At 41.6% G+C, this 15,250-nt stretch overlaps 1 long non-coding RNA gene across 1 annotated transcript in view; it reads right to left on the bottom strand.

Annotated features, from left to right (window-relative positions):
* Positions 1 to 3,464, bottom strand: part of LOC101928277 (uncharacterized) — a 205,476-nt gene extending 202,012 nt beyond the window's left edge. The window contains exon 1 of the long non-coding RNA XR_001744364.2: positions 3,382 to 3,464. This is a non-coding gene — a long non-coding RNA (uncharacterized LOC101928277). The remainder of the gene's footprint in view (positions 1 to 3,381) is intronic.
* Between the last annotated feature and the right edge of the window lie 11,786 nt (positions 3,465 to 15,250).

Here is a 15,250-nt window from a genome sequence, read left to right on the forward strand (position 1 = left end):
GTGCAAGGACAGGGGAGAAAAATATCCAGACCTCTCTCCATGCCTACCTCCCTCCTCTACTAATACCTCCCTTTGGCCAAACCAACCAGAAAGCAGACGGCAAGAGCTTGAGGTCCCCTACCAGGGTGCAGAGCAGGACACACCAGGGTGCAAGACAGAGCTGGGGAACCAAGGTAAAGGAGAATAACCCACCCAGGCTTGTATTCTTTTCTTTTTCTTTATTCTGCATTCCTTCTACCTCCATATAGCCTCTTCTACCAAGAACAGGTAGAAAACTGAGTCCTTTAGCCATGCAGTCTCATGTTTTGAAAAAAAAATAAGTTTAAAAAAAATTCTGATGAAAAGGAGTGTGAGAGAGAAAGAAGGGATTTGGAGGAAGTTAGCCTCCTATGGCTATCATTTCAAGCAGAGCTCAAACTGCAAATTATTTTTCATATTTTACTGAGAAAGATCATACAGATTTTAAAATGTTACAGCGTAGAAGAATGGTGTAAATGCACTCTGGAATAATCTTTAACCAGTAAAATGAAGCAAAGACATATCTTGCTTTTGACACAGAACAGTGGTGTCACTCCAATTTTGTAAAGCCTGACAAATGGACAATTATATCATTTAATTCTGAATCACTTAGCTTGAATGTGTTAAGAATATTTTCTTTAGTTTGGTACTCCACAGCACACACTGAAGAGATACTCCAGCCTCCACTTTCCCCTTACACGCACAGGGATAAAGAAAATGCATTTTAAGATCATAAATGTTAAGGCCAAGGCAGGCAGATCACCTGAGGTCAGGAGTTCCGGACCAGCCTGACCAATGATGACACCCCGTCTCTACTAAAAAAATACAAAAATTAGCTGGGCATGGTGGCACGCTCCTATAATCCCAGCTACTCAGGGGGCTGAGACAGGAGAATCACTTGAACCCAGGAGGCAGAGGTTGCAGTGAGCCAAGATCACACCATTGCACTCCAGCCTGGGCAACAAGAGCAAAAATTCCATCTCAAAAAAAAAAAAAAAAAAAAACCCACAAATGTTGTTGCAATGTCCTAGTCCTAATATACTCAGAAAAATCATAATAGCAATCAATTCTGGGCCAGGCGTGGTGGCTCATGCCTGTAATCCCAACTGGGAGGCTGAGGCAGAAGAATCACTTGAGTTCAGGAGTTCAGGACCAGCCTAGGCAACATAGTGAGACCTCATCTGTACTAAAAAAAAAAAAAAAAAGAAAAGAAATTAGCTAGGCATAGTGGCACATGCTTGTAGCATGTGCTACTCAAGAGGCTGAGGTAGGAGGATCTCTTGAGCCTGGGAGGTTGAGGTTGCAGTGTAGTGAGGTGCTGTGATTGCACCACTGCACTCCAGCATGGGCAACAGAACGAGACCCTGTCTCAAAAAACAAACAAACCAAACAACTGACTCTGGCTCAAAGAATCTCTACATAATAGTAAGCAGCATCTCTATGCATGCCCTTGGGTCATGTACTAGTGTGCTTGGGCTGCCATAAGAAAATATCACAGACTGGGTGGCTTAAACAACAGAAATGTACTTCCTCAAAGTTCTGGAGGCCAGAAGTCCAAGATCAAGGTATCCGCTTTTCCTAAAGTCTGCCTATTTGGCTGGTAGATGGCTGCCTTCTCCCTGTGTGTTCACATGGGCTTCCCTCTGTGCACGTCTGTGTCCTAATCTCCTCTTTTTAAAAAATTTTTTATTATTATTTTTTGAGACGGAGTCTTGCTCTATCGCCCAGGCTGGAGTGCCGTGGAGCGATCTTGGCTCACTGCAACATCTGCCTCCTGGGTTCAAGCGATTATCCTGCCTCAGCCTCCTGAGTAGCTGGGATTACAGGCATGTGCCACCATGCCAGCTAATTTTTGTATTTTTTAGTAGAGACGGGGTTTCATCATGTTGGCCAGGGTGGTCTCAAACTCCTGACCTCAGGTGATCCACCCGCCTCAGCCTCCCAAAGCGCTAGGATTACAGGCATGAGCCACCATGCCTGGCTGCTAATACCCTCTTATAAGGACAGCAGTCACATGAGATTAAGGCCTACCCTAAAGACTTCATTTTAACTTAATCATTTCTTTGACAATCTTATCTCCAAATAATTACTTTCTGAGATACTGGAAGTTCAGACTTCAACAGATGAATTTTGAGGGAACACAATGCAACCTGTAACAGTCAATGTTTATTTCTTTTCTCCTGTACCACCCATGCCATTGCTTCCCAAAAAGAGGACCATTTTTGCTCTCATCTTCCCTTTGTTCACCCACTCAAAATGCATCATTCCTTCTTTCCTTTTGGGCCATGATATCTACTCTCAAGTATTAAAGCCAAATTATCTGACAAATTATAGGTGGCAAACAATTTGCTTCTTTCAGTTTGTGAGTATATCAATCTCCTAGGTGACAAGAGCTTTCTGGGGACAATGCTCATTACAGAAATATGGGACTAGCAAGGCAAGAATTTCAGGCATCTAGAAAGCTGAAAATAGGAATGTTCGAGGAAATGTGGAGATTTGCAGTTGGCCTCAATAAAGAGATGTGTAGAAAGACCCAGCCCGAATCTGATGCAGGGTGGGATTTGAGCCCTTGTTAGTTCTCTCTGCAGGCAGGCAGCTGCCCTGCTTACGCTCCATAGATCCCACCACACCCTCACCCAGCCACTCGGACCACTGCTCCAAACTCCTAAGGTGCCTCTCTGTTTTCACACTCCAAACTCCTAAGGTGCCTCTCTGTTTTCACACATAGCCCCTCACATTCCTCCTCCATACAGTCTTCAAAGTCATTTTGGAAAACAATTTTATAGGGTGGTGGGATCAAGTATATCCCAAACCTCAGCATCATGCAATATACCCAGGTAACAAACCTGCACATGTAACCCCTGAATCTAAAATAAAAGTTGAAATTATTTTTTAAAAAAAAGAATTTCATAAATATTCTTAAATTTCATTCATTTTACAAATGAATAAAATTATGTCACAAATCTCCCCCAAGACCTCCTTAAACCCCTTTAACAAATTTCTATTGCTGTTAGAAAACACATTACTTCTAACCATGGTCTTATAGCAGAGGTGAGCAAACTATAGCCCCTATGCCAGATCTGGCCCACTGACTGTTTCTGTACAACCCATGACCCAAGAATGAATATTCCATTATTTAATGCTTAAAAAAAAAAGTTTTATGACCTGAAAATTGCATGAAATTCAAATTACGTGTGTGCACAGTTGTTCTTACAGTCCTTATCTGTACAGTTTTTCTTAGTTATAAGAGCTTGAAATGAAAGAACTGTGCATATTTGACCTCATACAGAGTGGACAAAAAAAACAAGCCTAGTCTCTTAATGATTAAAATTGTAAGGCTACGTTAAAGAGGGTGATACGTACTGTATTTCTGGTTGGTACCAATGAGGTCTCCTGAGGCTTACATTTTTTTAGGCTTAAACTTATTAGTCTTCTGGCCGGGTGTGGTGGCTGACGCCTGTAATCCCAGCACTTTGGGAGGCCGAGGCAGGCGGATCACAAGGTCAGGAGATCGAGACCATCCTGGCTATCACGGTGAAACCCTGTCTCTACTAAAAATACAAAAAAAAAAAAAAAAATTAGCCAGGCATGGTGGCAGGCACCTGTGGTCCCAGCTACTCTGGAGGCTGAGGCAGGAGAATGGCGTGAACCTGGGAGGTGGAGCTTGCAGTGAGCCAAGATTGCACCACTGAACTCCAGCCTGGGTGACTGAGCAAGACTGCATCTCAAAAAAAAAAAAAAAAGCTATTAGTCTTCTAAACTGAAAATATACCATCCCATTCTCCAACATATTCACATTTTCTCACACAAGCATAGACGTGCATACACACGCACACACACTTGCTTTTGTGTAACTATGATTTTCCCTATATAGCTACATTATTCTATCCACCTGGTTTCCAAAATAAAACTGGAAGTCATCTTTGATTCTGTCCTCTCCCTCTCCATTGGCATTGGGCAGCTACCATTTGTTGCAATCTACCTCTTTAAAAACCCTGATATCCATCCTTTTCTCCCCCTAAGACAGCCGCCCAATCCCACCACTCAACACTCTGCAGTAAAAAGTCTGTCTCTTCCCTCAAGGAGCAGACCTATTTTTGCTTGGTCTTTGTGCCTCAGCTCCTGACAACACAGTGCCTGGCACCTAGTAGGGTCTCAATTGTGCTTACTAAATGAACGATTTTTCTTATGCAATCTCTTCCTTCATTTGCGAAACCATATGGGTGCCCAGGTGGTATGACTGGCAGGAAACCAAATGGAATCCAGAAGTGATACAAAGGGACCTCCCTTAGAAATCTCCACTGGTGGAATGGATTTAACTCCCGAGCTAAAGTGTTATATTTCCGGGAGATCTGTGGTAATAATCAAATAGGTTCTCTAAGACATGAATTATCACATCAGTTCAGATCAATGTATTTCACCAACTCTCGAGATCCAGAGGGAATGGGACATAGGACAGGTGAGTTGGGGGGCGGTTAAGGAGGTCAAGTGAGATCCACAGCATAAGACATTGCCCCATGGAGGAACCGGGTCTGAAGGAAAATTACAGAACTAAAACTCAGGTCATTTAGGCTTTGCCTGTAAAATTAGATGTATCATAAGAAAGAAAAGCCAATAATTCATGTTTGAGTCAGAAATAGGAGAGGCTATACTTCCTGTCTGGGGCCACAGCCTCTTAGGCTCTGCTTCTACTTAGAGTAATAATTCTCATTCTAGACATGAATCTAATAAAACCATGTGTTTGGATTTCCTGGAATTTTTCTGACTGTGAATATAGACTTGTTCCCAAAAACTTCCACGTTCCATCTGCCCTCCTAAATGGGCAGTTTCCACGATGTCAGCAGAGGAAATGCAGGGAGCTGCCATGATGTCTGCCCGCTGCTGCCAGATCTCATCCAAGTGGCAGGTGAAGATTTATTCACACCCAGATACACAAGCCACTGAATTCATTTTTTAACTTATTGTCTGAGTGGAAATAGGAGGAAATAAGAGCTAACGAAATAATTCAGTTGGTCAGAAAGTGTTTTATATCTTATTTATAAGAGTGCTCTAAACCGAGTTGAATCATCTCCAGATCTACCAGATGTCACTGGTTATTAGGAGTTGCTACAAGTCACCAAGCTCCTCCCTCCCTCTTTTGCTTTTGTTCTCCTATTCTTTCTTCCTTATTTTCCTCCCTTCTTTTTCCTTCCTTCCTTCCTTCCTCCCCTCTTTTCTCCTCCCTTCCTCCCCTCCTCTCCTCTCTTCTTTCCTTTCTTCCCTCTCTCCTATATTAGTTCTCTTGGGCTGCCATAAAAAAATACCACAGGCCAGGCACGGTGGCTCACGCCTGTAATCCCAGCACTTTGGGAGGCCAAGACAGACGAATCACTTGAGGTCAGGAATTTGAGACCATCCTGGCCAACATGGTGAAACCTCGTCTGTACTAAAAATACAAAAATTAGCCGGGCATGGTGGTGCATGCCTGTGATCCCAGCTACTTGGGAGGCTGAGGCAGAAGAATTGCTTGAACCCAGGAGGCAGAGGCTGCCATGAGCTGAGATCACACAACTGCACTCCAGCCTGGGCAACAGAGTGAGAATCCGTCTCAGGAAATGAAATAAAATAAAATAAAGGAAAATAAAATAAAATAAAATACCACAGACTGAGTGGCTAAAACAACACAAATGTATTTTCTCACAGTTCTAGAGGCTGGAAGTCCACAATCAAGGTGCCAGCAGGGTTGGCTTCCTCTGAGGCCTCTTTCCTTGGCTTGCACATGGCAGCCCTCTTGCTGACTGCACAGGGTCTTGCCTCTGTGAAAACCTGTGTCTCTCCTCATGTCCTGATCTCCTCTCTCATTAGGACACCAGTCAGATTGGATGAGGACCCACCTTAAAAGCCCCATTTTAACTTAATCACCTCTTTAAAGGTCACATTCTGAGATACAGGGGCTGACTTCAACCTATGAATTTGTGGGGGGCACAATTCAGCCCATAACACACTCCCCCTTCTTCCTTTCCTTCCTTGTTGAGGGCTTATCACAGGCCAGATGCTATAGAGAGGAATGAGACAAAGAGAATATCACAGACCAGATGCTACAGAGAGGAATGAGACAAAGAGAATCCCTAACACTAACACACACACACACACACACACACACACACACACACACACACAATGATGTTACCAAAGCTCTCTTGTTTTCGGAGAGTGGCTTCTTGGACTGAGACCAGTGTTGGCTTTTGTCACATTACAGTTTAGGGTGCAGCATGCCCCGTTCTGTTGAGCGGGGTAAGGGCCAAGACAGGGTGGGACAGTGATGATGACTGAGAGGAGTTTGACCCCTGGCTCTGCCTTTGACTTTATGAATGACATTGACAGGGGATCTGGGCTTCAAGATGCTCGCATGTGGAAAGAAGGGGTGGGATTCGAAACCTACTCAAGCCCTCTCAGTCTCAGTTGATGATAGTACCTGAAAGACCTCCTTGATGTGGGAAGGGCTCAGGGAAGACCCAAGTCTTCCAAGGTCTGAAATATTCAAAGGAAAACAAACCAAAACTGGCTCTTTGAAACGCGTGTCTAGCAAGGAATATGTACTAAATATAAGCGATTCCTATTTCTACTGACGTAAAAGATTAAAATTGCTTTTCTGGGTCAGGCCTTTGCAGGAGCAGAGCTTGTGAGAATTGGAAAGGCTGTTAAGCGCCAGGAAAAATATTCTGCAGAGAAGCAGCGTCACCTGCTGGGATGCAGTGGTGTTGCATGTGATAAGTGAAATGACGAATCGTCAGCCTGGGTTTCTACTGAATATGAAATCAGGAACATTAATCTTAATCAAAAGCTGAGTTTTCAAGACCACCAAACTGCGGAAAGATTTCTCCGCAGGTTAATTTTAGCCATGTTTTAGATTTATTTTTGCTTCAAACTATTCACCCATGCTATACATCTTTCTTTATAAATCAGACTCAATGATATGTGCTAGTAAAAGCCAGTTAGTCAAAATCTGTTATTTAGAGGACACAGCTAGGATCACAGGGCTGAAGTCTCCCTTAGTTCAGGCTTCATTAAACAGCCACCCAACTCATCAGCTTCCCAGACCTCCAAGTCTCCTTCCAGCTCTAGAATTTAGCCACATGTATTTACTGAGTTCTGTTAAACACGGGACATTTTGTGTACTGAAAGATGTATGGAGAAATGTAAGATATGTTCCTGATCTCTTGTTTTGGAGACTTGGCATTAAAGTATACAAAGATAAATAGTAATTATAAAAGTTAATAATCACGCTATTAAACAAATAAAGTATGTTCAAGAGTGGTATAGACCAATGGCTACTCTGAGAGCCAGTATTTCTGGCTGGGGGCAGAAAGAATTTAAGGGTTTCTTGAGCCACATGTGAAAAAATAACAAGAATTTTGATGAAATTCATGGATAATAAGAAAAACTGAAGTAAGCACCAAAAAATGGAGACCAAGAACATGTTAAACGTTTTTGATAAGAAAAAAATGAAATGTGCTTGAGAAACACCAGGAAAATCAATTTAACCTGAGTAGGAATTTTTAGGAGAATAGTTTGAGATAAGGCAGGAAAAGGAAGCTGAGACATGATGATTCTGTAAATGCAAGGATAAGGAAGTTTGAGCTTATTATTGTAAGCAATTGAAAAGCATTGAAGATTTCTGGGAAGGAAAATAAAGTGATAAGAACTGTGTCTTAAGAAGACTCACCTGGCAATCACATGCAGGAAGGAATGATTCTAAGATGTGAAAAGATGCCCTGAATGTGTAAAAGGCAGAGTGGTAGAAAGAGGATTTTCAAGGTCACAAATGTGTATGTAAAAGCAGCAGAGAAATCTGGCTCTTTGATACTTTTTTGTATCAAACAATATACTCTAACTTAATATAATTTTTTTTTTTTTTTGTGAGAAAGAGTCTTGCTCTGTCGCCCAGGCTGGAGGGCAGTGGCGGGATCTAGGCTCACTGCAACCTCTGCCTCCTGGGTTCACGCCATTCTCTTCCCTCAGCCTCCTGAGTAGCTGGGACTACAGGTGCCCGCCACCCTGCCCGGCTAATTTTTTGTATTTTTTGTAGAGATGGGGTTTCACTGTGTTAGCCAGGATGGTCTTGATCTCCTGACCTCGTGATCTGCCCACCTCAGCCTCCCAAAGTGCTGGGATTACCGGTGTGAGCCACCGCGCCTGGCCAATTTAAAATAATTCTAAAGACATGAATGTAAGAGCTAAAAAACTATGAAACTGCTAGAGGAAAACTTTGGGGAAATGCTTCAGGACATTGATCTGGGCAAAGGGTTTTTGATTAAGACCTCAAAAGCTCAGGCAACAAAGTAAAAATAGGCAGATGGGATTACCTCAAGCTAAAAAGCTTCTGCACAGCAAAGGAAACCATTTTAAAAAGTGAAGAGACAACCTACAGAATGGGAGAAAATATTTGCAAGCTGTCCATTCAACAAGGATAAATAACCAGAAAATACAAGAAACTCAAACAAGTCAATAGCAAAAAACAAACAAGCAAACAAAACAAGAAAAAACCCCCAAAATGATCCAATTAAAAAAATAAGCAAAAGATCTGAATAGACGTTTCTTAAAAGAAGGCATGTAAACGGCCAACAGGTGTATGAGAAAATGCTCAAACTACTAATCATCAGGTAACTGCAAATCAAAAACCACAACAAGAGAACATCTTACCCCAGTTGGAATGACTGTTGTCAAAAAGACAAAAATTAACAAATGCCAGTGAGGTTGAGAAAGGGGAACGCTCTGACACTGTTGGTAGGGATGTAAAGTAGTACAGCCATTATGGGAAACAGTATGGAGGTTCCTCAAAGAACTAAAAACAGAACTACCATATTAGCCAGCAATCCCACTGCTGCGTATATACTCAAAAGAAAGGAAATCAGTAATCAAAGAAATTTCTGCATTCCCATGTTTATTGCAGCACTATTCACAATAGCCAAGATATGGAATCAACTAAAATGCCCATCAATGAATGCATGGATAAAGAAAATGTGGTACATGTACATAATGGAATATTATTCAGCCATAAAGAAGAATGAAATCCTGTCATTTACAGCATCACAGATGGAACTGCAGGTCATTATGTTAAGCGAAATAAGCCAGGCACAGAAAAACAAATATCACGTTTTCACTCATATATGGGAGCTTACAAAGTTGATTTCATGGAGGTAGAGAACAGAATGATGGTTACCAGAGGCTGGAAAGAGTGTAGAGGAGGGGAGATGGAGAGAGGGGGGTTAATGCATATAAACATACAATTAGATAGAAGGAATAAGTTCTAGTGTTCAATAGCACAGTAGGACGACTATAGTTAACAATAATTTATTGTATATTTCAAAATAGAGGAGAAGATTTTGGATGTTCTCAACACAAAGAAATGATAAATGTTTGAGGTGATTGATATTTCAATTATCCTGATTTGATCATTACACATTGTATGCATGTATCAAAATATTACATATACCCCCAAAATATATACAATTGTGATATGTCAATAAAAAATACAAAAAATAATAATTCTCTATATTAACCAAGGGAATGGTCACATGGAAAGAAAATGAAAAGGAAGAAAAAAAAAAAAAGCTAAAGAGAAGGATTCTGACCCAAAGCCTAAGAGAAGCATTGACAGTGTTTTAAAGACCCCCGAGACATCTAGAAGAATAAGAATTGAGAAAAGAATTGGGAAAAGAATTGGTTAGACATTGTTTCACATTGCAAATAATGCATAAATAATGAATTAATTGATTGACTAATTATTTAATTTTCTTTCATTATAAAGGTTTGGGCAGGAGGGAGACTTAGAAATCATCTTCCTCTCAGGACAGTAAGAATTTGTGCAACAACTTTTTAAATAGCCTTCCAACTTCAGCGTTGGGTTCAATAATGTGAGGTCACTCCTGTGCTAAGTGGACTATCCAAAGACTTGCAAACCCCCAGAGGTAGGTATCAGATATGATTACACATATCACATATGATTACACATATCTCAACACCCGTTTTTCCTCCAAAGGTTAGATCACCACAGCCATTCCAGATTGTCCATTTTGTCAATGTCCTTCTACATACAGGGGCCAGCATTACTGAGCACATTGCCTTAAAAGTGTCCTAAAAATCAGAGTATTGAAGAGGATGATAACATCTCCCTGCTTTGGTTCACAGAGCAGAGCCTGTAAGTGTGCTCAGTCTGTGTCTGTGCAGGACAAGGGGGAGGATCTTTTTATTAGATACTCAAGTAAACAAGGTTACTTCAGTCCTACACTTGTGCACTTAACTGTGCTGAACCTAAATGTGGCATGTTTTTGTTACTCCCTTTAGTGTTTTATTTTTTTGACAGCATTTCAGCCCAGACCTAGCACTAGATCTTGTACCTGGAAAGTATTTAATATTTGGTGGATAAATAAATCAAAGGATATACTTTTTAAATTTACATTCTGTCAGCACATATGTTTACACTTCTTCTCAGTTTCCAAACATTTGAAAATCTGACAGGCATACTATATCAGTTAGGGATGCTTTTGGCAGCAAGTAACAGAAAAATTTGAGCACAAAAACCTAAACACACGAGTTTAATTTTTCTCACATAACAATAAATCTGAGAGTAGGCAGCCCTGGGCTCATGTTGCCAGTGACACCATTAGGGACCACATTTCCTTTCATCTTTCAGATTCATTATCCTTAGCAAGCTTACTTTCATCTTCACGCTTTTTGTCCCTTGGTCTCAAGATGCCTATCTCACCTACAGACATCACACGCACATTTCGGCCAAGAACCAAGGGAAAGGGCAAAGGGACAAATTCCATGCCAGCTGGGTCTGTCCCCTTTGTATCAGAAAAGTAAGAACTTTCCCAGAAGTGTCACTAGCCATACTTTCTTTTGCATCTTATCAGCCAGAACTGGATCACGCAGTCATCCTTAGACTAATGACTGGCCAAGAGGAATAACTGGCTTAGAATTACTATTAATTCCCAGGGACTAAGGGTGGGCCCTTCCTCCCTGAAACAAAAGGACTTCTGCTACTACCCAAATAAATTTAAGTTCTGTTAGCAGGAAAGGAGGGATATGAATATTGGGTCAATAAAGACAAGTACCTAGCACACATGCCTTCCACAATGTATATTTAGATAAGCAAGTCTTTGTGTGACTTCATTCAAGGTCATCAAAATCATGTCACTAATACAGAATTTAATAGAAGACCCTGGAAATGACTTGTTTTCCTCCCCGTTGAGGTTATTAATTATCCACCATGAACCTAGAATAGGAACTTTTAAAAACCTTAAAATGTGCACAAGTGTTCCAATTTAGAATTTTAGGCCTGGCTACTGTATTAGTCCGTTCTCATGCTGCTAATAAAGACCTACCTGAGACTGCGTAATTTATAAAGGAAAGAGGTTTAATGGATTGATGGTTCCACATGGCTGAGAAGGCTTCACAATCATGGCAGAAGACAAATGAAGAGCAAAGGGACGTCTTACATGGTGGGAGGCAAAGAGCACGTGTGCAGGGGAACTGCCCTTTATAAAACCATCACATCTCCTGAGATGTATTCACTATCATGAGAACAGCACGGGAAAGACCCATCCCCATGATTCAGTTACCTCCCACCAGGTCCCTCCTATGGCACGTGGGTATTATCAAAATTCAAGGTGAGATATGGGTGGGGACACAGCCAAACCAAATCAGCTACTTTGATATTCTACCAACACCCAACACTTCATTTCTTCACCTTATGCTCTGTGTCTGTCTACCATAAGAATCTGAGTTTGTTGGCTGGGTGCAGTGGCTCATGCCTGTAATCCCAACACTCTGGGAGGCCGAGGCAGGCAGATCACGAGGTCAGGAGATCAATACCATCCTGGCTAACATGGTGAAACCCTGTCTCTACTAAAAATACAAAAAATTAGCCGGGCGTGGTGGCACACGGGAGGCTGAGGCAGAAGAATCACTTGAACCCGGGAGGCAGATGTTGCAGTGAGCCGAGATCGTGCCACTGCACTCCAGCCTGGGTGACAGAGTGAGACTCATCTCAAAAAAAAAAAAAAACAAAGAATCTGAGTTTGTTTAGGGTAATGATTATGTCTTACCCATGTCCAGACATCACCAACACCTAGCACAACAGTTAGCATGAGCTCAATGAATATTTATTTTTAAAATAAAGTCCAAGTTATTGATGGATTAGATAGTATTATAACATGAATGTTCTATTCTCATTAGAAAGACTGTCTTGGAAATACATTTTTTGGTGCTACTAACATTTCAGCAAGTTGGTTTTCTTCTTGTGTGTATCTACTATGGAAGCTATACATGCAATGCATACTTAAGAGTCAATACACTTGTACTTCTATACAATGAAATATGACTCGGCAAGATAAAGGAACAAACTACGGATATGCACCATGATGTGGATGAATCTCAAAAGCATTATACTCAGTGAAAGATGCCAGGCAGAAGAGGCTACATGTGCTGGGACTCTATTTATATGAAATATCCACAAAAGGCAAGCTATAAAGATAGAAAGTAGATTCGTGGTTGCTAGGGACAGGGGATAATGGAAATTAGCAGTAAATGTGCATGAGGGATGGAATTGGCATGATGAAAATGTGCTAAAACAGATTTATGGTGATGGTTGCACAACTTGGTACATTTGCTAAAAAAAATCACTTGAAAAGAGTGATGTGCAAAATATGCTCTGATAACCATTTTAAAATCAGTTTAGGACTCTGGAAGCTTTCTGGCATTCTTAAGACAGACCAGCACCTATCTGCATAACGTTCCGAGTAGACATGAGCATCCTTCACAGGAGGGCAGTTTTCAAATGCGAGAACACAGAGGCATTCGAGGAGCATATTACCCCCAGATAAATTTTTGTTTGACATAGGGTCTCACTATATTGCCCAAGCTGGCCTCAAACTCCTGTGCTCAAGTTATCATCTCACTTGTGCCTTAGTCTCCCAGATAGCTGGGACTACAGGTGTGGACCACCATGCCCATTTCCCCCCAGATAAGTCTTTAATGGAGCCTCCAATACACCGAGATTAAAGTTTCCAACATCGGCACTGGCAAAACTATAAAGGCTTCTTCTCCACAAGACCCATAGGAGATGCTCCCTGGGTTTACATGCCCTTCCCCACGACAGACCTTCACATCAGCGCTGCAACTGGATTCAAGTGTCAGATGTGCTAGTTAATGCTGTGGGTCCCAAAGGAATGAGACGTGTAATTCTGACTAATTTCGACTGAAGATAAGTGCAATGTCTATACAAACAAAAACAACAATAAAAAGATCTTTTACTGTGTCAAACATGACTACTGCTTAGTGTACCTCTTACTTGTTTGTTATAAGTATGCTTTAAGTCTCTCTCCTTTTTCCATTTCCCACTTTGAGTTCCTCTAGAAGGACTCCCTTCTGTTACTCTTTATACATGCACTGCCTCACAGAGGAGGTAGAAAGGCCTCAGGATGGGAAAACTGAGGGGAAAAAAGCAAAACCATCATGCCACCTAAAAACTAAACTTAAGAGTATTCCTACCTCTTGCTGCGTTTTTCTTTTTTCACGTTATACCATCAACACTTTTCCTTATATTAAAATTCGTGTTTTGTTCTGGTAGTAGCTCTCCCACGTAGTATTCACAGCATTTTGCTGCTCTGGCTGGAGTGGGTGTGAGAAGCTTGGATTCTCCCACACTCAGCCTTCCCAAGATCATCATGGGAGACCCCCAGGGCTCTGTGGAACACAGTTTGAATGGAATGATTGGCAGCATCCACTTTAATGGTTGAGTAGCATTTTATTTATGGATGAACCATAATTTTCTAAACATATTCCCTTTGTTGGCTATACAGTTTATGTCCAGGTTTTTAAACATAAGATTGTAGTAAGCAGCATGTAGCTAAATCATTTTGCATATTCAGGATATTTTCTGAAACTTCTAAAAGTGTTACTGGGGTTCAAATTTCTGCACACCTGTATACAAGTTGAAAAAGTACACTCTAAAAATTTTGTTCCGATTAGCCTCTGGCAGAAGTGCCTGAGTGTTTGACTCCTTAGTAACTGAGTAGTGTCCTCTTTTTTAAATCCCTGCCAAGCTGATAGGTAAAAAATTGTGTTCATTATGTAAATTTACAATTCTTTGAATACTAATGAGGTTTGATTTTTTTCTATTTTGATTCGCTTTTTATGCTGTTAGGTTATTCTGCTCTTATTAGCATTTTTTTTTTTTTTTTTTTGAGACGGAGTTTCGCTTTTGTTGCCCAGACTGGAGTGCAATGGCATGATCTTGGCTCACCGCAACCTCTGCCTCCTGAGTTCAAGCGATTCTCCTGCCTCAGCCTCCTGAGTAGCTGGGATTACAGGCACCTGCCACCACACCCTGCTAATTTTCTATTTTTAGTAGAGATGGCGTTTCTCCATGTTGGTCAGGCTGGCCTCGAACTCCCGACCTCAGGTGATCTGCCTGCCTTGGTCTCCCAAAGTGCTGGGATTACAGGCGTGAGCCACCGCACCTGGCCTAGCACTTTGCTTTTTAATTGGCAATTCAGTTACATTTCCTGGGAGGAAAACATTGGCTCATCTTCAGCTATCCTTGAGCCCAGACTTAAATTTATGTTTCAAGTACTAGCCAGCAAGACAGACTCCAAGTTGCATTTCAGGTCAGAATCCGTGCATTTCTGGATCACTCTCCACCACTTTCAAGTGCATGACCATCTCTTGAAGCACAAATTTCTTGGGCACCTAATTTAATTTAAAAACCTCAAAGAGTTCTTTGTGTCATCTTTGAGGAGAAAGACAAGCTCAGAGGTCTTGGAGGCAGCAATCAGATAAGCACCTTGCCAGAGAATCTTTGCTGAAAAATAAATTTAAATAGCAATTAATGCTTTTGTGTAAAGTTAAAGAGGAGTCTTGAGAATGTGACAGTCCAGCTGAGCACAGTAGCTCACGCTTGTAATTCCAGCACTTTGGGAGGCAGAGGCAGGCAAATCACTTGAGGTCAGGAGTTTGGGACCAGCCTGGCCAACATGGTGAAAGCCTGTCTCTACTAAAAATTAGCTGGGTGTGGTGGCAGGCACCTGTAATCACAGCTACTTGGGAGGCTGAGGCAGGAGAATCACTTGAACCCAGAGGCAGAGGTTGGTTGCCGTGAGCTGAGATCACACCACTGTACTCCAGCCTGGGCAACAGAGCGAGACTCCGTCTCAAGAAAAAAAAAGAGAGAGAGAGAGAATGTGAT

This window comes from Homo sapiens, chromosome 6 (genome assembly GCF_000001405.40).
Source record: "Homo sapiens chromosome 6, GRCh38.p14 Primary Assembly".
Classification (NCBI taxonomy): Eukaryota; Metazoa; Chordata; class Mammalia; order Primates; family Hominidae; genus Homo; species Homo sapiens.